At 48.5% G+C, this 26,156-nt stretch overlaps 1 protein-coding gene and 1 long non-coding RNA gene across 6 annotated transcripts in view, besides 1 other annotated feature; one reads left to right on the top strand and one right to left on the bottom strand.

The window, feature by feature from the left end:
• Window positions 1-26,156, bottom strand: part of ZNF594-DT (ZNF594 divergent transcript) — a 43,997-nt gene that overhangs the window by 1,104 nt on the left and 16,737 nt on the right. Inside the window, exons 2-7 of one of the 2 annotated variants that reach the window (NR_034082.2) lie at window positions 25,005-25,150; window positions 20,691-20,850; window positions 19,607-19,753; window positions 11,416-11,583; window positions 958-1,076; window positions 89-307 (exon numbers count right to left, since the gene is read on the bottom strand). This is a non-coding gene — a long non-coding RNA (ZNF594 divergent transcript). The remainder of the gene's footprint in view (window positions 1-88; window positions 308-957; window positions 1,077-11,415; window positions 11,584-19,606; window positions 19,754-20,690; window positions 20,851-25,004; window positions 25,151-26,156) is intronic. The other variant, NR_152840.1, reaches the window with a different exon arrangement.
• SCIMP (SLP adaptor and CSK interacting membrane protein) lies at window positions 40-25,980 on the top strand. 4 transcript variants are annotated; one of them, NM_001271842.1, is made up of 5 exons: window positions 40-165; window positions 11,444-11,546; window positions 13,550-13,613; window positions 19,902-19,975; window positions 23,945-25,980. In NM_001271842.1, the coding sequence occupies exons 1-5, from the start codon at window positions 145-147 to the stop codon at window positions 24,097-24,099; spliced, it is 417 nt and encodes a 138-aa protein (NP_001258771.1). In that variant the 5' UTR covers window positions 40-144; the 3' UTR covers window positions 24,100-25,980. The 4 variants fall into 4 exon arrangements, with proteins under 4 accessions (NP_001258771.1, NP_996986.1, NP_001306119.1 ...); NM_207103.3 differs by having other exon boundaries at window positions 11,444-11,567; NM_001319190.2 differs by lacking the exon at window positions 23,945-25,980 and adding an exon at window positions 20,064-21,891.
• Window positions 8,599-8,799: a silencer, noted in NCBI's record as "peak2705 fragment used in MPRA reporter construct". NCBI's record gives its function as "represses an SCP1 promoter by STARR-seq MPRAs in K562 erythroleukemia cells {active_cell/tissue: K562}" and the evidence as "EXISTENCE:reporter gene assay evidence [ECO:0000049][PMID:32103011]".

The following is a 26,156-nucleotide window of genomic DNA, read 5'->3' as shown; positions in this document are numbered from 1 at the left end:
TGGGCTGACTAGAAAGGGGAAGTGGTCAGGATGGGGCTCACTGTCTCTAGCAGTGGGTGAAGGCCTGTGAGTGAGGAATGCCTCTCACCAGCTGTGCCTGAGCTGCAGCACTCCAGCCACTGCTGTCTCCTTAGCTGCTCACATATGGATACTTTCACAGTTCAGGTAAGCATCTCAGCTTTCCAAGGGACAGTTTCCTGCTCTCTTCACAGCAGACATCTGCCAGCGCTGGCATCAGGGCGTGTCCCTGGGAGCCACCGATCAGCACTGGGCCAGGGGATTGCAGCCTGGGGCCCTGGTACGACTGCTGTGTAGGGTTGGAGAAAAACTTGCATTGAAGGATCTGCTCTACTGGTAACTGGCTGAGTGACCTGAGGCATCACTTCACCTCTCTGGGCCTTTTCCTCATGTGTATGTCAGGGGCGATGAAGAAGTCTACCTCTTGGATTGAAATGAGATAATGACCGGGAGTGAGAGGTCTCAACTGTAACGAGTTACTCTCACTTTCTGGATGCCGATGGTGTGTTTTGGGACTTGTTATGTGAGAAGACTGTCATGGTGCTATGCTGGAGGTGGGGGTGGGAGCGAGGCACTGACTGTGTCAATTTATTTATTTTTATTTTATTTTGAGATGGAGTTTCGCTCTTGTCGCCCAGGCTGGAGTGCAGTGACGTGATCTCGGCTCACTGCAACCACCGCCTCCCGGGTTCAAGCGATTCTCCTGCCTCAGCCTCCTGAGTAGCTGGGATTACAGGCACCCGCCACCACACCTGGCTAATTTCTGTATTTTTAGTAGAGACGGAGTTTCACCATGTTGGCCAGGCTGCTCTCGAACTCCTGACCTCAGGTGATCCGCCCGCCTCGGCCTCCCAAAGTGCTGGGATTACCGTAGCATGAATTTAGGCTACGTCTTGGGGCTCTTGGATGAAAGACCTGGATCACCTCCAGTCTTGGTACCTTTGTCATTGCATCTCTGGCTTTCAGTAGTTCATTAGGCACCTTCCCTTCCAGAGGCCTCGAGATCAAAGTGTGTTGGGCTGGCGTGAGTTCTCGGTGTAGCCATCTGCTTTTGCCCTCTGGAAAATTATTTTGAGAAGAGATCTGGGTTTGGCTTTGCCATATCCACTCCCACTGCCTGGTGTGTCCACTTGTCCCTGAGGTCTTGGCCATGAAGCAATGTGGAGCACAGGCTTCACTCTGCTTCAGTGGTAAATAACTACTGAGAGGCAGGCGGGGCATGGTGGCTCACGCCTCTAATCCCAGCACTTTGGGAGGCCAAGGTGGGCAGATCACAAGGTCAAGAGATCAAGACCAGCCTGGCCAACATGGTGAAACCCTGTCTCTACTACAAATACAAAAATTAGCTGGGCATGGTGGTGGGCGCCTATAGCCCCAGCTACTCGGGAAGCTGAGGCAGGAGAATCGTTTGAGCCCGGGAGGTGGAGGTTGCAGTGAGCCAAGATTATGTCACTGCACTCCAGCCTGGTGACAGAGCAAGACTCCATCTCAAAAACAAACAAACAAACTACTGAGAGGCTTAAAGCAAGGAAGGGACAGGGTCACACTGGTATTTGGCAGCCAGTGGGGAGCCCAGTGGGGGCTAGGGGCCAGCGAAAATGCAATGGTCCAGGTACAGAGATGAGGACTTGGACTACATTTGGAGGCTGATGGGCTGAAGCGGGGTGGGGATGGGGCCATGGGAGAAAGAGGAATGAGGCAAGGTTTCCGGTCTTTTCCAGAAGTGAAAGTATAGAGAAGGGAAGAAGAGAGGCTGGACTCCTTTTAATGACCCTGCCGTGCACTTCCCCATGCACACTTGGGTTTTAAGTTGCCAGTGACTATCCACATGGCCATTTCTGGTGCTGACATCAGTGAGAAGGACAAGTGGAGCGAGGCTCAGTGGCTCACGCCTGTAATCCCAGCACTTTGGGAGGCCGAGGCAGGTGGATCACTTGAGGTCAGGAGTTTGAGACCAGCCAGGCCAACATGGCAAAACCCCATCTCTACTAAAAATACACAAAAATTAGCCGGGTATGGTGGTGCGTGTCGGTAATCCCAGCTACTCAGGAGGCTGACACAGGAGAATAGCTTGAACCAGGAAGTAGAGGTTGCAGTGAGCTGAGATTGCACCAGTGGAGTCTAGCCTGGGTGACAGAGCAAGACGCCATCTCAAAAAAAAAAAAAGAAGAAGAACGAGTGGGAACAAGGCCTCACTTAGCATGAACAGCAACAGTCGGGGAATTAGAGGTGAACTGGGGCAAGAACTGCTCATGCCAACCGGCCTAAATGTTCTCTACAGCCTCTCAGACCCTCGAGATCTAGACTGAGATTAGTTCGAACCCTCATTCCAGGCCTGCCGAAGTCCAAAGCCCTCCCCAGGACTTCTGTGGACTCCCGAGGAGCCCACCTCTTTTTCCATGGTCAGCAATGGGCCTGCAGCCTCTGTGGGTAAAACTGTTTACACTGCGCTGTTTACACTGCACTGTTTGCACTGTTTATACTGTTTATACTGCACTGTTTATACTGCACTGTTTACACTGCACTGTTTATATTCCACCCCTTTCTTAGTCCCCCACACCCCTAGAACAAATCTGCTCACAAAAGAATTGGCAGATGCAGCAGACTTTACCAAAGACTCAGCGGGGGACCACCAGAGGGGCTTGTAACGCATCAGCGCAAACAACTGCACACAGAACATAACACGGCGCTGCTCTGAAAATGTCTTTGCCAGCCCATCCCTGAGCATTTTCTATCAGCTCCTCCTCTTGATACCAAATGAGGCCCATTCTGCTCATCGCACAGTAAGCCAATCACTGAGGTGACCAGTTTTTTTTTTTTGTTTTTGAGACGGAGTCTCGCTCTGTCGCCCAGGCTGGAGTGCAGTGGCGCAATCTCGGCTCACTGCAAGCTCCGCCTCCCGGGTTCACGCCATTCTCCTGCCTCAGCCTCCCGAGTAGCTGGGACTACAGGCGCCTGCCACCATGCCTGGCTAATTTTTTGTATTTTTTAAGTAGAGACAGGGTTTCATTGTGTTAGCCAGGATGGTCTTGATCTCCTGACCTCGTGATCCGCCCGCCTCAGCCTCCCAAAGTGCTGGGATTACAGGCGTGAGCCACCGCGTCCCGCCAAGATGACCAGTTTTGCAGCACAGAATGCATTTATTCATGAGGCAGCCAAGTGAGGAGATGGGAAAACAGGTCTCAAACCCACTTCCTCGAAGATGGGGTTTAGAGACGTTTATGGGACAAAGAAGCAGGTGGCCTAAGGTGTGGGGAAGGTGATTGGAGGGAAAAGTAGGACATCGGCAATCTGTGCAAGCCTAGTCAAGCTTCATCGTTCTTCATAGGATGCAGGTTCACAAAATGGTGGCATTAGCATGATGGAAGATGGAGTTTTTGGCGCTCTGACATCAAACGTCACCTACTGGACACTCACACAGACCAAGTTGAAGGATTGATGGTCATAAGTGGCTTGAACTGGATAAGAGCTGACCCCAAGTTCCTGAAAAACAACTTTTTTTCTTTTCTTTTTTTTTTTTTGAGATGGAGTTTCACTCTCGTCACTCAGGCTGGAGTGCAATGGCGTGATCCTGGAGGCTCACTGCAACCTCTACCTCCTGGGTTCAAATGATTCTCCCTCAGCCTTCCGAGTGGCTGGGATTACAGGCGCCTGCCACCACACCAGGCTAATTTCTGTATTTTTAGTAGAGACGGGGTTTCACCATCTTGGCCAGGCTGGTCTCGAACTCCTGACTTCAGGTGATCTGCCTACCTTGGCCTCCCAAAGTGCTGGGATTACAGGCGTGAGCCACCGTGCCCAGCCCTTGAAAAACAACTTAAACAACCATTACTATGATGACCTATATGTCAGAGATGTTATCCAGCAGGAAGCTAGTGGAAGTCCAGTTAAATATTGCTTAGCTACATGACTTTTAGCTCTATAGGCTTTTTTCTTTTTTAAAGACAGGGTCTCACTCTATAACCCAGGCTAGAGTGCACTGATGGTAATCACAGCTCACTGCAGCCTCAATCTCCTAGAGTCAAGCCATCCTCCCACCTCAGCCTCCTGAGTATCTGGGACTACAGGCACATGCCGCCACATCTGGTTTTGTTTTGTTTTGTTTTGTTTTGTTTTTATTTTCAGTAGAGAGAAAGTCTCGCTGTGTTGCCTAGGCTGGTCTTGAACTCCTGGGCTCAAGTGATCCTCCAGCCTCGGCCTCCCAAAGTGCTGGGATTACAAGTGTGAGCCACTGCCCCCAGTAGCTATATAGGTTTTAAGATCAACTAGAAGCAAGTGACTAAAATCAAGTAAGGTAGGTTAAGTTCTGCAGGCCTAATCTAGCCCTCGGGTTCACTCCCACCTTTGCACCATCCTGCTGGCTTCCCTTTTCATCTTTCCATCCCTTCTTCTCATCACCTTCCCTCCCAGAACTCCAAATTCTCCCCTTCTATAACCCAGAGGAATTCAACATTCCCCAGTTCCTACCAGCAAACTTCATTCCTAACCCAGCCAGCTTTGCAGATCTGCAGATCCTCTGCAGGGAGAATAGGGGACTCTCCTGGTCGGTAGCTGCCCTTCTTAGAAGACACTTGCTATTGTAAATAGAACTTGGTTGGTTTGCCCTTAATAATGCCTCATGCTTGGTGATCTTCTGCACACAGAGCTCTTTTGCATGCAACATCTCTTGGAAGCTTTTCAGAAGCCTGCAAGGAGACGTTAAGCATCTTATTCCAAGTGCAACAGCTAAGTGGGAACAGGAAACCTATTCCCTCTGGCCAGGTGCAGTGGCTCATGCCTGTAATCCTGGTACTTTGGGAGGCTGGGGCGGAGGATCACTTGGGGCCCAGAGTTTGAAACCAGCCTAGGCAACATTTTTTGTGTGTCTACAACATTTTTTTGTCTCTACAAAAAGGAAAAGAAGGGAAAGGAGAGGAGAAAAAGGAGAGGAGAGAAGAAAGGAGAGAAGAGGAGAGGAGAAAGGAGAGAGGAGAGGACCGGAGAGGAGAGGAGTGGAGAGGAGAGGAGCAGAGAGGAGAAAGGAGAAGAGGGGAGAAAGGAGATGGGGGAAGGGGAGGGGAGGGGAACTTGTTCCCTTGATGGCCAGCCTAGGGCCCTTCAGCGCTTCATTTATGTGAATACGTGAATAACTATCACAACGTAAACCATATTTCTTACTGAAGATCTTCTTTTAAAAATGCTAAATACGCCGGACGCAGTGGCTCATGCCTGTAATCCCAGCACTTTGGGAGGCCAAGGCGGGTGGATCACCTGAAGTCAGGAGTTCAAGACCAGCCTGACCAATATGGTGTGAAACGCCATCTCTACTAAAAATATAAAAATTAGCCGGGCATGGTGGCGTGCGACTGTAGTCCCAGCTACTTGGGAGGCTAAGACAGGAGAATTGCTTGAACCGGGGAGATGGAGGTTGCAGTGAGCCAAGGTCGCGCCACTGCACTCCAGCCTGGGCAACAGAGCAAGACTCTGTCTCAAAAAAAAAAAAAAAAAAAAAAAAAAAGCTAAATAAACCCACAGTCTCAGAAATTCCTGGTGAAGGAAAATGTGATTTCTGTCCCTGACACCCTGGAAATGCCCTTTGGAGAAATGAAAGTGAAGCTGATGTGTTGACTGCCTTCAGTTGCTCTCCCACTCACACGCCCTCTTCACTGTGGAAGGTCTTGCCAAATCCTTTCCACTGAAACCACCCAGAACTGCAACAGGCTCACTCATGTTCCTTGAAAATGTCATGGACAACTAGAGGAATGGGGAGAAACAAAGGGGAAGCTGGAACTCCACCTCCCCAGCATTGGATTGCCACTGCTTCCCAGCCAGCCTCTTGGCCCCAGTAGCCAATGGCCAGCGCAGGACGGGGAGCCTGCCCAGGGTCGCGTGTCCAGATGAGGCTTTGGAATTAGACTGCACAGCACAGTAATTTCAGTTACTGGACCCAAAGTGACTTCTGCCTGCATTCTCGGGTGGGAGGTCCATCTATAGCAGGGGAAAGAGACTGGGGCATCATCCATTCTTTCGTATATTCACAGATATGTATGGTATGTCCTGCCCCAGGTGATGTTCTAGGCGCTAGAAACACAGTGGTAATTACAGGCAAAGCCTCTGCTCTTATGCTGCTTGCCCATCAGTGTGGGAGACAGACAAGGAACAAACAAATAAAAAGAACAAATACACCAAGAGACAACTGTCACTGTCACAGGCTCAGTTGGAAGAAAAATGCATTTCACTGTTTTTTCTTTTTTTTTTGAGACAGGGTCTTACTCTGTCACTCAGGCTGGAGTGCAGTGGCACATTCATGGCCCAATGTAGCCTCGAATCCCTGGGCTCAAGCAATCCTCTCACCTAAGCTTCTTGAGTAGCTGGGACTATAGGCATGCACCACCTTGCCTGGCAAATTTTTAATTTTTTTTGTAGAGACAAGGTCTTGCTGTGTTGCCCAGGCTGGTTGCTAACTCCTGGCCTTCAGTGATCCTCCTGCCTCAGCCTCCAAAACTGTTGAGATTACAGGTGTGAGCCACTGTGCTCAATGCATTTTTTTTTTTTTTGAGACAAGATTTGGCTCTGTCACCCAGGCTGCAGTGCAGTGGCGTGACTGCAGCTCACTACAGCCTCAACTTCCTGGGCTCCAACAATCCTCCCACTTCAACCTCCCATGTAGCTGGGGCCACAGGCGCGTGCCACCATGCCCAACTTATTTTTCATTTTTAAAATTTTGTTTGGAGAAGGAGTCTAGCTCTGTTGCCCAGGCTGGAGTGCAGTGGCGTGATCTCGGCTCACCACAACCTCCGCCTCCCAGTGTCAAGCAATTCTCCTGCCTCAGCCTCCCAAGTAGCTGAGATTACAGGTGCACACCACCATGCCTGGCTAATTTTTGTATTTTAGTAGAGACGGGGTTTCACCATGTTGGCCAGGCTGGTCTTGAACTCCTGACCTCATGATCTGCCTGCCTCGGCCTCCCAAAGTGCTGGGATTACAGGCATGAGCCACCGCGCCCAACATATTTCACATATACATATTGCAGGGGGTAGTGACATCCCTTCACGTAGCTGAGTTCTTCTTGGGATGCGGTAGGCAAGGAGAAAGGATGGCCTCACGAGAGAGGCTCCACCAACTAAAATTGTGAAGAAAGCGCCATGGGAATGGGGGATGGGGACTGGGCTGGAAGGTGGAGGAGTTGGTGCGTGCTATTGCACTGCTCTGCTCAAGCCGGACCCCTCCCACCTCAACCCCCACACTGTTGACTTTGCCTCCCACCTCAGAGGAAATGGAAACTTAGGTGTGAGCTCTCAACTTCCTGCCCCCAAGCCCCTTCTCTCTGGTTCTATTCAGTGTCACTCCCTTCTCTAATCCTTGTTCCCTTTTGAAAGTTCATTCTGGGTGGGCAGGGTGGCTCACGCCTGTAATCCCAGAACTTTGGGAGGCCGAGGCATGCGGATCACTTGAGATTAGGAGTTCAAGACCACCCTGGCCAACATGGTGAAACCCCCTGAGTAGCTGAGGAGGAGCTTAACCTCCTGAGTAGCTGTGACTATAGGCACATGCCGCCACACCTGGCTAAGTGTAAGAGTGTGTGTGTGTGTGTGTGTGTGTGTGTGTGTTGTGTGTGTGTGTATATAGAGACAGGGTCTTGCTATGTTGCCCAAGCTGATCATGAACTCCTGGACTCAAGTGATCCGCCTGCCTTGGCCTCCTGAAGTGCTAGGATTACAAGCATGAGCTACTGCACTCGGCCAGTGCAAACACTTCTTTGCGATCCTTCAGTAGCCCTCAGTAGTCCTGTACTCACAATCTTATCGGCCCTCTGTGGCAACAACTCCAGGTCTGCCAGCACAGGTAGGATCCAGCTTTCATACCTTCCCAGGGCCTGAACTCGGTCATGCAGCCATTGTGTACTCCCTGTTTTCTGTACTCTCTATCATCCTTCCCCAGGGCTTCCTCTCTCTGGAAGCACCTTGGCCATTAAACCAGCCTGGTGGCCTAGAGGACATCCTACTGGAACTAGGATGTGATTCTCTTAGGCCCCCTCTCTCAGCTGCCCTCTCTCAAAAAGCAAGCTCTCCTTGGTTCTATTAAAAATGTGTCGGCCGGGCGTGGTGGCTCATGCCTGTAATCCCAGCACTTTGGGAGGCTGAGGCAGGCGGATCACCTGAGGTCAGGAGTTCGAGACCAGCCTGGCCAACATGGTGAAACCCCATCTCTACTAAAAATACAAAAAAAATTAGCCGGGCATGGTGGCACACACCTGTAATCGCAGCTACTGGAGAGGCTGAGGCAGAAGAATCGCTTGAACTGGAGAGGTGGAGGGTGCAGTGAGCCGAGATCACGCCATCGCACTCCAGCCTGGGGTACAAGAGCGAGACTTCATCTCAAAAAAAAAAAAAAGAAAGAAAGAAAAAAGAAAAGAAAAAGTGCCTCTCTGCGGTCCATTTCACTTGTAAGAACAAAACTGACAAAAAATATTTATTACTCTGAGTAGTTCTGAAAATGACCCATGGTTTCACTTTCTGACAACATCATTCCACTTCCTCTTTCCCAAGAAACTGATGAGAATGAAATTTCCTTGACCTTGAAACCCAAGCAATAGTTTTTTTTGGAAGCTACACTACATGGCCAATTTATTCTTTCCAGTGTTATCAAAGTAAATGTACGTAGTGCAAAAATCAAGTAATGCAGAGTTTATAACGAAAAGCAACAGCCCCTGTCTTCCCGCCTCGACCTTCCACGCAGTCACAATCCAGATACAACAGCTTTGAATGCGCAGGTCGTGGTATTTATTTCTATCGCTCTAAAGAGTATTGTTTCAGGAAAAACTCTGCAAGCGGTGTTTTTCCTCTGTTCTCACACCAGCACAACAATCACCAACACAGAAAAGGGCTTCTGTGACCAAATGTGTGAGGGTTTTTCCGCCACACACCAAGCAGTGAACACCAGCTGGGTGTTCTCCAATTCAATGCCAGCACTATAGACCCAGAGATAGTATCAGATCTCACAGCTCAGTTCCCAAGACTGCTGCCCCCAACTCCCCAGACGTCAGTCGCAAGTCCGGGCCTCTGGAACTTGAGAGCAACCAGCTTCAAGTTGGGGTTCTCACAACTCCCTCTTTGAGATCGGTGTTTTTTTTTTTTTTTCAGATGGAATCTCGCTCTTGTTGCCCAGGCTGGAGTGCAATGGCACAACCTCGGCTCACCGCAACCTCTGACTCCCAGGTTCAAGCAATTCTCTTGCCTCAGTCTCTCAAGTAGCTGGGATTACAGGCGTGCACCACCATGCCCAGCTAATTTTTTGTATTTTTAGTAGAGAAGGGGTTTCACCATGATGGCCAAGCTGGTTTCGAACTCCTGACCTCATGTGATCCGCCTGCCTCAGCCACCCAAAGTTATGAGATTACAGGCGTGAGCCACTGCACCCAGCCTTTGCTTTTGTTTTGAGATGGAGTCTTGCTCTGTTGTCCAGGCTGGAATGTAGTGGCGTGATCTCGGCTTACTGCCACCTCTGCTTCCTGGCTTTAAGCAATTCTCCCGCCTCAGCCTCCTGAGTAGCTGGGACTACAGGCATGTGCCACCACACCCAGCTAATTTTTGTATTTTTAGTAGAGACAGGGTTTCGCCATGTTGGCCAGGCTGGTCTTGAACTCCTGACCTGAAGTGATCTGCCCTCCTCAGCCTCCCAAAGTGCTGGGATTACAGGCGTGAGCCACCGCACCTGGCCGTGTTATGCAGTTTTATTGGAGGTTTGATGGTAACAAAAGGCGACACCACAGCATAACCTAGGTAGCAATTTAAGGCTGGACATGAGGCATTACTGTCCTAGAAACGCCTTGGTCATTTGCCACTATGGGAGCTTCCTAACCAGGATCTGACTTGTGCTCTCTTCTTGACCTCTCACTCTGCTGCTAACCTTTTCCGAGACTTTCCCGGTCTCTGGTCTGTCAGCTTCCAGCCCCCAAATGCCTGTTAACTCTCTCATGCAGATCAACTCAGTTTGCCCTGTATCTTCAGCTTCACCCTTCTGACCATAACTCACTCAAAGAGACCCATCCAGCTATTTTTCTAACCCTCAACTCAAACAAAAGCTCTCAAAATTTCTCTCCCCTGCTATGCATTAAGTCTGACTTGTCCTTGTGATTAAAAACAACTGGCTGGGCATGGTGGCTTGCACCTATAATCCTAGCACTTTGGGAGGCCGAGGCAGGTAGATCACAAGGTCAGGAGTTCGAGACTAGCTTGGCCAACATGATGAAACCCCGTCTCTACTAAAAATATAAAAATTAGCCAGGCGAGGTGGCACACACCTTTAATCCCAGCTACTCAGGAGGCTGAGGCAGGAGAATTGCTTGGGAGGCAGAGGTTGCAGTGAGCCAAGATCGCGCCACTGCACTCCAGCCTGGGCGACAGAGCAAGCCTCTGTCTCAAAAAACAAACAAACAAACAAACAAACAAACAAACAAAAAAACTGGCCTGGTGCAGTGGCTCACGCCTGTAATCCCAGCACTTTGGGAGGCCGAGGCAGGCAGATCACGAGGTCAGGAGATCGAGACTATCCTGGCTAACACGGTGAAACCCCGTCTCTACTAAAAAAATACAAAAAAATCAGCCGGGCGTGGTCGTGGGCGCCTGTAGTCCCAGCTACTCGGGAGGCTGAGGCAGGAGAATGATGTGAACCCAGGAAGCAGAGTTTGCAGAGAGCCCAGATCGCGCCACTGCACTCCAGCCTGAGTTACAGAGCGAGACTCCGTCTCAAGAAAAAAAACAACCCTGCAGTCAATTATTGCTTTAAATGGCACCTTCCCCCTCCTGCTGCATGTCTGAAAGAGCAGTGATGATGTCTACCATTTCTAGAGGGCCCAGTAGGTACATGTTCGATCTCCAGTCCTCACAAACCTCAGTGAAGTAGGAGATATCATTCCCATATTATAGATGAGGCTCACAGAAGGTCGAGTGACATGCCTGAGGTCCCCCAGGTGTTAATGAGTAGGGTATGGCTGTGATCCAGTGCCTGATTCCTAAGCAGATGTCTGCATCTCTACACAACACAGTAGATTAGCTGGGCACGGTGGCTCATGTCTGTAATCCCAGTACTTTGGGAGGCCAAGACAGGTGAATCACCTGAGGTCAGGAGTTCCAGACCAGCCTGGCCAACGTGGCGAAACCCCATCTCTACTAAAAATACAAAAATTAGCCAGGCGTGGTGGCAGGTGCCTGTAGTCCCCGTTACTCTGGAGGCTGAGGCAGGAGAATCACTTGAACCCGGGAGGTGGAGGTTGCAGTGAGCTGAGAGCTGAGATCACGTCATTGCACTCCAGCCTGGGCGACAGAGTGAGACTCCGACTCAGAAAAGAAAAAAAAAACAACCCACAGTAGATAACTGCCCCACTCCACCCAACCCCAGGATATCTTTCATTCATACCTCATTCTTCTCTCTCCATTCTTCTCAGGATTCCACTGCAATGAGCTGGTGGAGGAATAATTTCTGGATCATCTTAGCTGTGGCCATCATCGTTGTCTCTGTGGGTCTGGGCCTCATCCTGTACTGTGTCTGTAAGTGGCAGCTTAGACGAGGTAATGGCCATTTTACCTAGGCAGGTGGAGGGAGGAGCCAGGTGGTTATCGGTGCAGTAGAGCTCCTTTAGGGCAAGCAAATCAATCCTGGGCCTGAATGAGCTGAATTTTGGATTAAGCATCTTGCATTCTGGGTTTGAGTCCTAACCCTGCCACTACATTATGTCTCTAGGCCTCAGTTTCCTCATCCACACAGTGAAAGGAGGGACATCAACTAATCTCCAAGAGCCCTTCCAGCCCTAATCATCTGGGTGAAAGCAGAATCTGTTTGAAGGCACAGTATGCTCAAGTGCTTTTTCTTCCCTATGTGGCTACTGCGCACAGCATCTTGCGAGAACACAAGTATATGGAATATTAAGAACTGTCTCGGCTGGGCGTGGTGGCTCATGCCTGTAATCCCAGCCCTTTGGGAAGCCCAGGTGGTGGGATCCTCTGAGGTCAGGAGTTCGAGACTAGCCTGGCCAAAATGGCGAAACCCCGTCTCTACTAAAAATACAAAAATTAGCTGGGTGTGGTGACGGGTGCCTGTAATCCCAGCTACTCAGGAGGCTGAGGCAGGAGAATCACTTGAATCCAGGAGGCGGAGGTTGCAGTGAGCCGAGATCGTGCCACTGCACTCCAGCCTGGATGACAAGAGTGAGACTCCATATCAAAAAAGAAAAAAAAAGAACTGTCTTGAGGAATAAAATATGGACTCAATCCACAGCCAACATGTTTGGCCACCATGATTGCCTTCTCTGAGACCATACTCTGAATTTTCTGGTATTACCTAGACCAGAAACCTCTTGGCACCCTCAGACATAAATAAGTGGCCTAGGGATTAACACTAACTTTAGATTATCTGTAAGTGGGGTTTCCACTTTCCTGTTCATCTCCAGAAACACGAAAGCTTTAATTCAATGGCGTGTTATCTTGACCTCTCATTCCTTTAAATAACAACCTGGCCGGGCGCGGTGGCTCACGCCTGTAATCCCAGCACTTTGGGAGGCTGAGGTGGGTGGACCACGAGGTGAGGAGATCAAGACCATCCTGGCTAACACGGTGAAACCCCGTTTCTACTTAAAATACAAAAAAAATTAGCCGGGCGTGGTGGCAGGCGCCTGTAGTCCCAGCTACTAGGAAGGCTGAGGCAGGAGAATGGTGTGAACCTGGGAGGTGGAGCTTGCAGTGAGCCGAGATCGCATCACTGCCCTCCAGTCTGGGCGACAGTGTGAGACTCCATCTTAAAAAAAAAAAAAAACAAGTTTTCATTCCTGCCAGGTGCAGTGGCCCACGCCTGTAATCTCAGCACAGCTCTTTGGGAGGCTGAGGCGGGTGGATCACTTGAGGTCGGGAGTTCAAGACCAGCCTGGCCAACATGGCGAAACCCCCATCTCTATTAAAAATACAAAAATTAGCCAGGTGTGGTGGCAGGCACCTGTAACGTCAGCTACTCAGGAGGCTGAGGCAGGAGAATCGCTTGAACCCAGGGAGCAGAGGTTGCAGTGAGCCGAGATTGCGCCACTGCACTCCAGCCTGGGCAACAAGAGTGAGGCTCTGTCTGGGGGGAGAAAATAGTTTCCATTCTCAAATATGGACAAAGGAATGACCCAGAACTAAAACTTCACCTACTTTCTTTTTATCCTCAACCACTCCTATTAACAAGCAGGCTATAATTTATAACAACGTGTATGTCCATCTACAGGATACAAACTGCTTTTCCGATTCTTTATCTGATTTCCTCCCAACCACACTTTTGATTATTCATTCAGCCAACATTTCTAAGTGCCACCTAAGTGCCAGGCATAGAGAAAATAAACACCACCCATGCTGTGGCTGCCTTCACTGGGTTAGTGCAGAGGCTCTGTGGTTAGACTGTCTGGGTTCTAAGTCCGGCTCTATCATTTATTAACTGTGTCCCTAAGTGTGTTTTCTCTGGGTTAAATTAAAAAATCACAACTTTTGCTAATTCTTCTTCAATGAACATGCTTTTCCCCTCTTAGGCAAGAAATGGGAAATTGCCAAGCCCCTGAAACACAAGCAAGTAGATGAAGAAAAGATGTATGAGTAAGTAGGGGGGAATCCTTCCGCTTTTTACTGTTGAGAACTGCCTGTTCCCTTCCACCCTTGCCCCTCCACTACCGTACCAGTATGACTGAGACATCCGCATTTCCTGTAGAGCTGGCGAGACTTCACACCTGCCAAATCTCTCCACATAAGGGCAGAGACTCAGGACATTGTCGATGCAGGGCAAGTCCTCCCTCCTCTCATCTCTCTCTCTCTTTTTTTTTTTTTTGAGATGGAGTCTTGCTCTGTCGCCCAGGCTGGAGTGCATTGGCACGATCTCGGCTCACTGCAGCCTCCGCCTCCTGGGTTCAAGCAATTCTCCTGCCTCAGCCTCCCAAGTAGCTGGGATTACAGGCACCCACCATCATGCCTGCCTAATTTTTGTATTTTTAGTAGAAATGGGGTTTCGCCATGTTGGCCAGGCTGGTCTCAAACTCCTGACCTCAGGTGATCCACCCACCTTGGCTTCTCAAAGTGCTGGGACTACAGGCGTGAGCCACCAGGCCCGCCTGGTAGTTCTATTTTTTTTTATTTTTATTTTTTGAGATGGAGTCTCACTCTGTCACCCAGGCTGGAATGCAGTGGCGCAATCTCGGCTCACTGCAACCTCTGCCTCCCAGGTTCAAGCAATTCTCCTGCCTCAGCCTTCCAAGTAGCTGAGATTACAGGCACACGCCAGCATACCCAGCTACTTTTTGTATTTTGTATTTTTAGTAGAGACGGGGTTTCACCATGTTAGCCAGGCTGATCTCAAACTCCTGACCTTGTGATCCACCCGCCTTGGCCTCCCAAAGTGCTGGGATTATAGACGTGAGCCACTGCACCCAGCCTCTTTTTTTTTTTTTTTTTTTTTTGGAGATGGGGTCTTGCTATGTTGCCCAGGCAGCTCTAAAACTCCTGTGGGTCTCAAACTCCTGGGCTCAAGCAATTCCCCCACCTTAACTTCCCAAGTAGCCGGGATTACAAGCACATGCCACCGTGCCCAGCCTACTCTCATCTATTCTGACAAAGGTCACAGGTTGGGCTCTGTGTTCTGGGCCCAGCGCCCAGTCTATACTTCTTTTCTTTTGGTGGATTCCAAATATAGTCTTCCAAAAGCTACTGCGCTGAAGAAAAATATGCCATCCACTTTACTTTTGTGTTTTGTGATCTATTTGGGGCTTTATGACCAATATCTGCGTTGGGGATCTCCAAGGCCACTCTTAGGCTTGAGAATTCACTAGAAGAACACAGAAAAGCGATTTTGCTCAACAATTACAGTACATTATGGCGAAAGAATACAGATTAAAATCAGCAAATGAAAAAGTGATGGAGTGTGGGGTCTAGCAGAAAGCAGGCAAAGCTTGCAGTTGTCCTCTCCCAGTGAAGTCGCACAGAGAGCCCCAGTTCTCCCAGTAACAATATGTGGCAACAGACGCGAAGCACTGCTGACTGGAGAACCTCACCTGAGCCTTGGAGTACAGAGTTTTTCTTTTACTGGGGGTTAGTCATGTAGGCATGGAATACCTGCACTTAGCTTTATCAAATTGATCAAACATGGCCCAGGGCCCCAGGCAAACAAAAACAGGCATTCACCATAAACCACATTATTAACATAAACTATCTGGTGTGGCCCAAGGCTCCCAGATATACAAAGACACTCTTTATTTATTTATTTACGAGATGGAGTCCCAGTCTGTCACCCAGGCTGGAGAGCAATGGCGTGATTTCGGCTCCCTGCAACCTCTGCCTCCCAGGTTCAAGTGCTTCTCCTGCCTCAGCTTCCTAAGCAGCTGGGATTACAGGCACCTGCCACTATGCCCAGCTAATTTTTGTATTTTTAGTAGAGATGGCGTTTCACCATGTTGGCCATGGCTGGTCTGGAACTCCTGACCTCAAGTGATCCACCCACCTTGGCCTCCCAAAGTGCTCGGATTACAAGTGTGAGCCACCATGCCCGGCCTCAAAGACACTTTTTTTGTTGTTGTTGAGACAGAGTCTCGCTCTGTCACCCAGGCTGGAGTGCAATAGCGCGATCTCGGCTCACCACAACGTCTGCCTCCCAGGTTCAAGTGATTCTCCTGCCTCAGTCTCCTGAATAGCTGGGATTACAGGCGCGCGCCACCACACCTGGCTAATTTTTTGTATTTTTAGTAGAGACGGGGTTTCGCTATGTTGGCCAGGCTGGTCTCGAACTCCTAACCTCGTGATCTGCCCATCTCGGCCTCCCAAAGTGCTGGGATTACAGGCGTGAGCCACCACGCCCGGCCGGAGACACTCTTATTAGGAAGAATATTCCAAGGGTTTAGAGATTATTTCCCAGGAGCCAGTCAAGAGCCAGTCCTTTCTTTGGAGTATACACACTATCTAAAACAAAACTTACACTTGGGGCGAGGTGCAGTGGCTCATGCCTGTAATCTCAGCACTTTGCCAAAGTGGGAGTATCACTTGAGGCCAGGAGTTCAAGACCAGCCTGGACAACATAGTGAGACCCTGTATACAAAACATTTTTAAATCTCTGCTTTTCTAAAATGGCTTTTGTTGTAGCTTCAGGGATCCAGCAAATAAGACTCCCCCTGCCTCCATCAATTCTGATCCCTTTCAAGAATAAGACAAATGTGTCAGGCAGTCAGGTGACTAAATATTGCCTTTTTTAAGAATAAAACTGGGGCCAGGTGCAGCAGCTCACACCTGTAATCCCAGACTTTGGGAGGCCGATGCAGGCAGATCACCTGAGGTCAGGAGTTCGAGACCAGTCTGGCCAACATGGTGAAACCCTGTCTCTACTAAAAATACAGAAATTAGCTGGGCATGGTGGTGTGTGCCTGTAATCCCAGCTACTTGGGAGGCTAAGGCAGGAGAATTGCTTGAACCCAGGAGGTGGAGGTTGCAGTGATCCAAGATCGTGCCACTGCACTCCAGCCTGGGTGACGAGTGAAACTCAGTCTCAAAAAAAAAAAAGCAAAAAACTAAAACTGGTATTGGCCAGGGGCAGTGGTTCATGCCTATAATCCCAGCACTTGGGAGGCCCAAGTGGGAGGATGGCTTGAGGCCAGGAGTTTGAAACCAGCCTGGGCAACATAGTGGGGACCCATATCTGAGAAAAATACCAAAATTAGCCAGGTGTGGTGGTGTCTGCCTGTAGTCCCAGCTACTTGGGAGGCTGAGGTGGGAGGATTGCTTGAACCCCTGAGGTCAGGGCAGCAGTGAGCTGTGATCGTGCCACTGAACTCCAGCCTGGGTGTCAAAGTGAGACCCTGTCTCAAAAAAAAAAAATGTTGGTGGGACGGTAAACTAGTTCAACCATTGTGGAAGTCAGTGTGGCGATTCCTCAGGGATCTAGAACTAGAAATACCATTTGACCCAGCCATCCCATTACTGGGTATATACCCAAAGGACTATAAATCATGCTGCTATAAAGACACAGGCACACGTATGTTTATAGCAGCACTATTCACAATAGCAAAGACTTGGAACCAACCTAAATGTCCAACAACGATAGAATGGATTAAGAAAATGTGGCACACATACACCATGGAATACTATGCAGCCATAAAAAATGATGAGTTCATGTCCTTTGTAGGGACATGGATGAAACTGGAAACCATCATTCTCAGCAAACTATCGCAGGGACAAAAAAACAAACACCGCATGTTCTCACTCATAGGTGGGAATTGAACAATGAGAACACATGGACACAGGAAGGGGAACATCACACACCGGGGACTGTTGTGGGGTGGGGGGAGGGGGGAGGGATAGCATTAGGAGATATACCTAATGCTAAATGACGAGTTAATGGGTGCAGCACATCAACATGGCACACGTATACACATGTAACAAACCTGCACGTTGTGCACATGTACCCTAAAACTTAAAGTATAATAATAATAAAACAAACACACACACACACACACACACACACACACAAGCAAACAAAAAAGAATAAAACTGGGATTGCAGAATGTGGCTCTTTTCTGTGAGCTAGTGAGTTTCCTAATTTGGAACCGGGTGACTTTCCTAACCAGTTCACAGGCAGCTCCGGAAAACCTCAGGTCTCCCCCACCGAGTAGACCCCTTTTTCTGAATGGCAAAGACCAGAGCAGGATTTGTGAATTCTGCAGTCAGGCCAGCTCTGGAGGAGAAAGTGAGAGGAGCTAGACTTTTCCCAAATTTAGCAGTCAGATGAGTTGCTTTCTTCTCTTAGGAAGAGCTACAGAGGGATGGTGAGAGCCGCCGGTGGAGCTCTACCCCCATGTCCCCGTCTGCACTCAACCTAACAACCTAAAAATGTTTATTCATTCTCAGGGGGACTTTATAGCATATAGGAGTCAAATCAGTGTACCTAGGGGGATGGAGGCCCAAGTAAGGAAGTTTTCTTAGAGTTTATCTTTTAGTTAAAACTTTGTACCAAAGTATCATATAAATACAGGAAAATGGAAATACTGAGTGTGCAACCTGATGAATTTCCACGAACTCAACAGACCCAGGTCACTGGCACCCAGATCAAGAAATAGGACGTTACCAGCACTTCAGAGGCTGACTTTATACAGCCTTTCAACCATTACATCCCAAAGGCAATCACTGTCTGTGATAGTATAAATTAGCTTTTTGGGTTTTTTTTGTTTTTTGTTTTTTTGTTTTTGAGATGGAGTCTCACTCTGTTGCCCAGGCTGGAGTGCAGTGGCGCGATCTTGGCTCTCTGTAACCTCCGCCTCCCAGATTCAAGCAATTCTTCTGCCTCAGCCTCCTGAGTAGCTGGGATTATAGGCATGCGCCACCACACCTGGCTAATTTTTGTATTTTTAGTAGAGACTGGGTTTCATCATGTTGGCCAGGCTAGTCTCGATCTCCTGACCTCATGATCTGCCTGCCTTGGCCTCCCAAAGTGCTGGAATTACAGGCATGAGCCACCGTGCCCAGCAGCTTTTTGGTTTTTATGCAATCTATTAATGGCATCATATAGTATATATTATTTGGTGTTTGGCTTTTTTGCTCAACATCATTTTTATGAGATTCATTGTGTGTAGTTGTAGATTGTTCATTCTTGTTGCTATAGAACATTCCACCGTGGGAGTACACCAGTATTTATTTATTTATTTATTTATTTTGAGACAAGGTCTCACTCTCAACCAGGTTGGAGTACAGTGGTGCAATCATAGCTCACTGTCACCTCAAATTTTGGGCTCAAGTGATCCTCTTGCTTCAGTCTCCTGAGTAGCTGGGACTACAGGTGTATGCCACCACAACCTGCTAATTATGTTGATTTTTTTGTAGAGACTGGGTCTCCCTGTGTTGCCCAGGGTCTCCCTATATTACCCTTAAACCCCTGGGCTCAAGCCATCCTCCCTCTTTCGCCTCCCAAAGTGCTGGGATTACCAATGTCAGCCACCTTGCCCAGTCACTTTACCATAATTAATCTATCCATTCTACTGCTGATGGACATTTGAGTTGTGTGATGGCAAATTTTATGTGTCTGTGCTTCTCTGGACAACCCAGACTAATACAGGTCGTGTCCAATTCAGAGCTGTTATGAATAGTGTTGCTCTGAACATTCTAATGCATGTTTTGGTGAACAGATGCGAGCATTTCAATAGTCTGTAGACCCAGTAGTGGAAATGCTGACTCAAGGTGTGTGTACATTCTGCTTTAGGAGTTCATCTGCTTTTGTTTTTTGTTTTTTTATTTGTTTGTTTTGAGACAGAGTCTCACTCTGTTGCCTAGGCTGGAGTGCAGTAGCATGATCTCGGCTCACTGCAACCTCCGCCTCCGAAGTTCAAGTGATTCCCCTGCCTCAGCCTCCCGAATAGGTGGGATTACAGGTGAGCATCATCATGCCCAGCTGATTTTTGTATTTTTAAGTAGAGACAGGGTTTCACCATATTGGCCAGGCTGGTCTTGAACTCCTGACCTCAGGTGATCCGCCTGCCTCGGCCTCCCAAAGTGCTGGGATTACAGGCATGCGCCACCATGCCCGGCTCATCTGTTTTGCAAATAGAAATACATCTGGTGCCTACCTCTCCGAATCCAGCTCAGGTGAACCAGGAAGGTGTGCTCCATGCTCTGAATTATAGCACTTTATTTCCCTCCCCTCATTTTCAGCCATTTCCAGGGCTACAGAAAACGGTTTCATTAGGGTGCCAATTACAAATGGGAACCAGGACCTACAAAGGAAAGGAAATGCTTCCAATTAGTAGAGACCAAGATTTGAATGTTCAACCCATTCACTTTCCTTGATGTTTTCTCTTAAATCGGCTGGGAGCAGGCATGGCCCAAACCAAACACTGATTCTCTCTCTTTCTCTCTCTCTAGGAATGTTCTTAATGAGTCGCCAGTTCAATTACCGCCTCTGCCACCGAGGAATTGGCCTTCTCTAGAAGACTCTTGTAAGTATATTTTACTGGTAGCAGTTTCATTTAGGGTAAGATAACGAGTTTATCAAGGTGTCTTTTTTTTTTTTTTTTTTTTTTTTAGATGGAGTCTTGCTCTGTCACCCAGGCTGGAGTGCAATGGCACGATCTCGGCTCACTGCAAGCTCCGCCTCCCGGGTTCATGCCATTCTCCTACCTCAGCCTCCGGAGTAGCTGGGACTACAGGCACCCGCCACCACGCCCAGCTAATTTTTTGTATTTTTAGTAGAGAAGGAGTTTCACCGCGTTAGCCAGGATGGTCTCGATCTCCTGACCTCGTGATCCACCGGCCTCGGCCTCCCAAAGTGCTGGGATTATAAGCGTGAGCCACTTTTTTTTGTTTTTGAGATGGAGTCTCGCTCTGTCCCCCAGGCTGGAGTGCAGTGGCGCGATCTCCACTCACTGCAAGCTCCGCCTCCCAGGTTCACACCATTCTCCCACCTCAGCCTCCTGAGTAGCTGGGACTACAGGTGCCCACCACCACGCCTGGCTAATTTTTTGTATTTTTAGTAGAGACGGGGTTTCACCATGTTAGCCAGGATGGTCTAAATTTCCTGACCTCATGATCTGTCCACCTCGGCCTCCCGAAGTGCTGGGATTACAGGTGTGAGACACCACGCCCGTCCCCTATGAAGGTGTCTTAGATAGCTCAGGCTGCTGTAACAAAAATACCATAGACTGGGGTGCTTACACAACAGAAATTTGTTTTCTCGTTGTTCTGAAGCTGGAAGCCCGAGATGAGGGTGTTGGCCGATTTCTGTGAGGTTTCTGGTGAGGGTTCTCCTCCTGGCTTGCAGACAGCTGCCTTCTTGCTATGTCCCCACAAATGGCCTTTCCTTGGTGCATTCAAGCTGGGGAAGAGCATCAGGGAGTCAGATTTCTGGTGTTTCTTCTTACAAGGACACTGATCCTGTTGGATCAAGGCCTCATCCCTATGGCCACATATAGCCTCACTGGGGGTTAAGGCTTGAACACCTGAATTTTGGGGGGACACAAACATTCAGTCTGTAACACTAGGATTTATAGATGCAGCATCCTGATTATTTTATTTTTGAGGCAGAGTCTTGGTTTCTCACCCAGGCTGGAGTGCAGTGGCATGATTTCAGCTCACTGCAATCTCCACTTCCTAGGTCCAAGCTATTTTCCTGCCTCAGCCTCCTGAGTAACTGGGATTATAGGCGTGCACCACCACACTCAGCTAATTTTTTGTATGTTTAGTAGAGACGGGGTTTCACCATATTGACCAGGCTCGTCTTGAACTCCTGACCTCAAGTGATCCACCCGCCTCGACCTCCCAAGGTGCTGGGATTACAGGCATGAGCCACCACACACAGCCAGCATCCTGTTTAAAAGAGATAGCCAGAGGCCAGGCACAGTGGCATATGCTTGTAATACCAACACTTTGGAAGGCCAGGGCGGGCTGATGACTTGAGCTCAGGAGTCTGAGAACAGCCTGGGCAACATGGCAAAATCCTATCTTTACAAAAATTAGCCAGCGTGATGGTGCACACTTATAGTCCCAGCTACTTGGAAGGCTGAGGTGGGGGGATCGCTTGAGCCTGGGAGGTCTGCAGTGAGCCACGATAGCATCACTGCACCTGGACGACAGAGTGAGACCCTGTCTCAAAAAAAAAAAAAAAAGGGATGGAAAAGCAAAAAGGGGGCAGCATAAGTACCGACGCACCCAATAGCCTGATATAAGGGTGTAAATTCATGTTCAAATCCCAGCTTGGAACATAAACAGAAAGAAACATGGGGTGTCACTAGGCCTTTCACTTCCTATCAGAAAAACTCTGCCTGGTTCCTTTGACTGGAATGTTCTTCCTTAAGCTCTTTGCCTCGCTGGATTTTCCTCATCCTTCAGATGTCAGCTCAGAAGTTACCACCTCAAAGAGGCCCTCTCTGTCCACTCAACCTAAAGTAGTTCTGCTAATTTCCTTTATGAAACTGACAGTTATCCAAAATTGTGTTATTTACTTATTGTTCATTTATGTATTATTGATCTCCTCCACTGGAGTATAAACTTCAGGAACACAGGAACCTTTTTTGTCCACCACTATTAATATTTATCCACTACCTAGAACAGGGCGTGAGGCTCAGTCGATACTTAAGAAAAATATTTTGATTGGATAGATAAATAATATTAGCTAACATTTATTGAGCATGCGCTGTGTTTCAGGTCCCACACTAAGCACTTTACAGGTATTAGCTCATTCACTCCTCACAACTCTACAAGCCAGGTACATTTTTTTGTTTGTTTGTTTTTTGAGATGGAGTCTCGGTCTGTCGCCCAGGCTGGAGTGCAGTGGCGCAATCTCGGCTCACTGCAAGCTCCACCTCCCGAGTTCATGCCATTGTCCTGCCTCAGCCTCCTGGGTAGCTGGGACTACAGGTGCCTGCCACCATGCCTGGCTAATTTTTTGTATTTTTAGTAGAGATGGGGTTTCACCATGTTAGCAAGGATGATCTCGATCTCCTGACCTCGTGATCCACCCACCTCAGCCTCCCAAAGTGCTGGGATTACAGGCGTGAGCCACCGCGCCCGGCCCAAGCCAGGTACATTTTTATTCCTCTGTGACAGATGAGGATGCTCAGGCACAGATAAGTGACTTACCTATAGTCACACAGCTAATGACTGCTGGAACGTGAACATGAACTCTGGTCTGTCAAACTGCAGAGTTCTGCAAATAGTGGCATTTCAGGTTTTCTTAGGAAAAGATGAGATTGTGGGAGAGGCAGTTCCAATCCCCATCAAAGATGGAGCTGAGCTGTTTCATCATCCTTCTATTACTTATGGACCTGTTCTTTTTGTTTGTTTTTTGTTTCTTTTTCTTTCTTTCTTTCTTTTTTTTTGAGACAGAGTCTCGCTCTGTTGCCCAGGCTAGAGTGCAATGGTGCAATCTTGGCTCACTGCAACCTCTGCCACCTGGGTTCAAGCAATTCTCCTGTCTCAACCTCCCGAGTTGCTGGGATTATAGGCACCCGCCATCACGCCCAGCTAATTTTTGTATTTTTGTAGAGACAGAGTTTCATCAGGCTGGTCTCGAACTCCCGACCTCAGGTGATCTGCCCACTTCAGCCTCCCAAAGTGCTGGGATTACAGGCATAAGCCACCGCGCCCCAGCCTCCTATGAACCTGTTCTGTACTAATTCCACCTTTTGAAAACAACGCCATCCCCTTTCTTCTTAGAGAGATTTGTACATAAGCAATTACAGAGAGTCCTGGAAAACAGTGTAAGTCACTGGAAGGGATGTGCCAAAAAGGAAATATGATTTGTTTCACTTCCTTGTAAAAATTAGGATCTGTAACACAACAGCACTCATATGACTACTGGGCTCTGGTCTGTTTCTTTTCATCCATTCTTTTTTTTTTTTTGGAGACAGGGTCTTACCATGTTGTCCAGGCTGAAGTGCAGTGGCGTGATCATGGCTCGTTGTAGCCTTAACCTCCTGGGCTCAGGAAATCCTCTTGCCTCAGCCTCCCAATTAGCTGGGACTATAGGCATGCACCACCACATCCGGCTAATTTTTAAATTTTTCTGTAGGGACGAGGGTCTCCCTGTGTTGCCCAAGCTGGTCTGGAACTCCTGGGCTCAAGTGATCCTCCCACCTGGGCCTCCCAGAGTACTGGGACTACAGGTGTGAGCTTCTGCACCTGACCTGGTCTGTTTCTTTTCTAAGCTTTTGCTTCATGGTTTCCATGCAGTGCAGGCTTAGGCAGAAAGATACGGGAGTCAAGATGTCTGACTAATATTTTCCAGTTACTCACTTGGGTGATCCTGAGGCTCTGTCAGGTCTGTGTCTAAATTTCCTCTGTAAAATGGGGATCTGGCCCACTAGAAGTGGGAAGATCACTGAAACGTGAAAATCACGCTGAGCCACTGCCTTCAAAAATATAAAAACACATGACAGCTTTGCATCTAAGGAGCTTTTTGTGTATTCTAGCCCCACAGGAAGCCCCAAGTCAGCCGCCCGCTACATACTCACTGGTAAATAAAGTTAAAAATAAGAAGACTGTTTCCATCCCAAGCTACATTGAGCCTGAAGATGACTATGACGATGTTGAAATCCCTGCAAATACTGAAAAAGCATCATTTTGAAACAGCCATTTCTTCTTTTTGGCAAAACTGAAGAGGGTTCACACAACTTATTTTAAAACAATCAAGAATGGTTGAACTTCAGTAGGTCTCTGGGCCCTGAAAGCCAGTGGTGATTTTATGAAGCTCTATAAGATAAAGCACTTCCCAAACCTTAGATGAAGACACCCCTGCGATCGGATGACTGCAGCCAGAGGAGACACATGGGTGCTCGGCTCTGAGGACTTAGAGGGGTCAGCCTTGTGCTGTTGAGGAAACTTTCCATGGGAAGGACCACGGGGCTCCATGGCTCCCACCTGTGGGAAACTACTCATTTCTTGGCATTCTTTCCCCCTTCATTCCCTTTGGTTTGCATGGTTCTGAGTGATATTAAATCTCAGCATTTGGTTGTGCAGACCCTCCCAGGCTCCCATCCCCAGCAAGGCCCTCACCAAGCATGCTGGTCTTTACCCTCTCACCCCACCCACCTCCTGCACTGTGAGGCTGTGGGTGAGTTACAGCTGAGTGCTCTCGTGCCCAGGTTCCCACACCACATCTCGCGAGTTTGCAAGGGCAGGGAGTACCTTTTGTTCTCGTGAACCCTCCCCACCTAGACACCCTGCAAACCCCAGTGCCTTTATATGATGTAGGCCAAATTGACCATAGAGATTTGAGTTTTCACCTAGGTTTTCTCCCCGTGCTTGCAAGTTGTACTGTAACAATGGACAAAGGACAAAAGTTACCTTCTGATTTACACCTAGAAGCATCATTTTGCAATAGGTGTGTTGGGGGTGCTACAGGAAAAATACATTTCCCCCAGGACAAATCATGGGGAACAGGAAAGAAAAGGGGCATGTAACAATGGCATATACAAGATGAGAGTTCAGGGGGCTTAATATCCCCTGTCCATCATTTTCATCAGTACTTACTCGAGTTCTAGGAAAACAGCCTCAAGCCCCTTCCTTCCAGATCACTGTCCCTGGGCATCTGGGAGGAGGCAGAAGGTCCACTGTGATGTGCTGCAGCCAATGAGATGGGCCAGGGACATGGGCAGATGTCTTGTTAAACAAGTGTCCTAATGGGGTCAACAAGGCCCGAGTCAGCTTTATAGGCTCTTAGACCTCATCAATTCCTTCTAGCTGATCGCCAGAGCCCTAGGACTTGACTCATTCTAACTATACTCACAAGATGCTGGTTTCTAAGTGACCTCTGGGAAATCTGGCAAATGAACAGCCTTGCAGAGAGAGCACTGTGAACCTGGAAAGGCCTGAGAGTGACTCAGATTTCCCTCAAGAGATGGGAAAATGTGTTCCTCCCATTTTCAAGCTTTCTCCCTCAATCAACGCTGGAGCACTGGGGACCTGGGCTTCCTCCCTGGTTCTCTCTTTCCAGACTCTATGAAGGCTTCCACCTTGCTATTAATACCTCCTTGGGAGGCCAAGGTGGGCGGATCACCTGAGGTCGGGAGTTCGAGACCAGCCTGACCAACATGGAGAAACCCCATTTCTACTAAAAATACAAAATTAGTCAGGCATGGTCGCGCATGCCTGTAATCCCAGCTACTTGGGAGGCTGAGGCAGAAGAATCGCTTGAAACTGGGAGGCGGAGGTTGCGGTGAGCCGAGAACATGCCATTGCACTCCAGCCTGGACAACAAGAGTGAAACTCCATCTAAAAATAAATAAATAAATAAATAAATAAACCCTCCTTATGTTAGGCCAGTAGTTATCTAACTATGGCCTTATGGGACTCTGGTATCCCACCAGCCAAAGAGAGGACTCTTCCCAAATTATAGAACAAAAATAAGCCAAAGGATTGGAGTGTTTCAAACACATGCTTTCGTCTTATAAATGTTCTGTAAACCCTCCATGACTATGACAAAAGTTAAAAACAAATGCCAGACAAATGTTGATTCTTCCTTGGTTTCTGGGACGCCACCCTCTCCTGGTTCTCCTCCTGTCTCCGTCTCATTTTGGGGCCACCCACTCTTTCTGAAGCATCTCTTCAATGCTGGTCTTCCTCAGGTTCTGTCCCTGTGTCTCTGCCCATCTGCCTCCAACACTCACGAGTGATCTCACCAAT

Source organism: Homo sapiens, chromosome 17 (genome assembly GCF_000001405.40).
Source record: "Homo sapiens chromosome 17, GRCh38.p14 Primary Assembly".
In the NCBI taxonomy this organism is placed as follows: domain Eukaryota; kingdom Metazoa; phylum Chordata; class Mammalia; order Primates; family Hominidae; genus Homo; species Homo sapiens.
This window is presented reverse-complemented; position numbering and strand designations above follow the sequence as displayed.

Excerpts from the sequence above, each read along its gene's own strand:
- SCIMP (NM_207103.3), top strand. The coding sequence starts at position 145 with ATGGATACTTTCACAGTTCAG. Across the intron at positions 11,568-13,549 it reads TAAGTGGCAGCTTAGACGAG|GCAAGAAATGGGAAATTGCC; the intron begins GTAATGGCCATT and ends TTCCCCTCTTAG. Across the intron at positions 13,614-19,901 it reads GATGAAGAAAAGATGTATGA|GAATGTTCTTAATGAGTCGC; the intron begins GTAAGTAGGGGG and ends CTCTCTCTCTAG.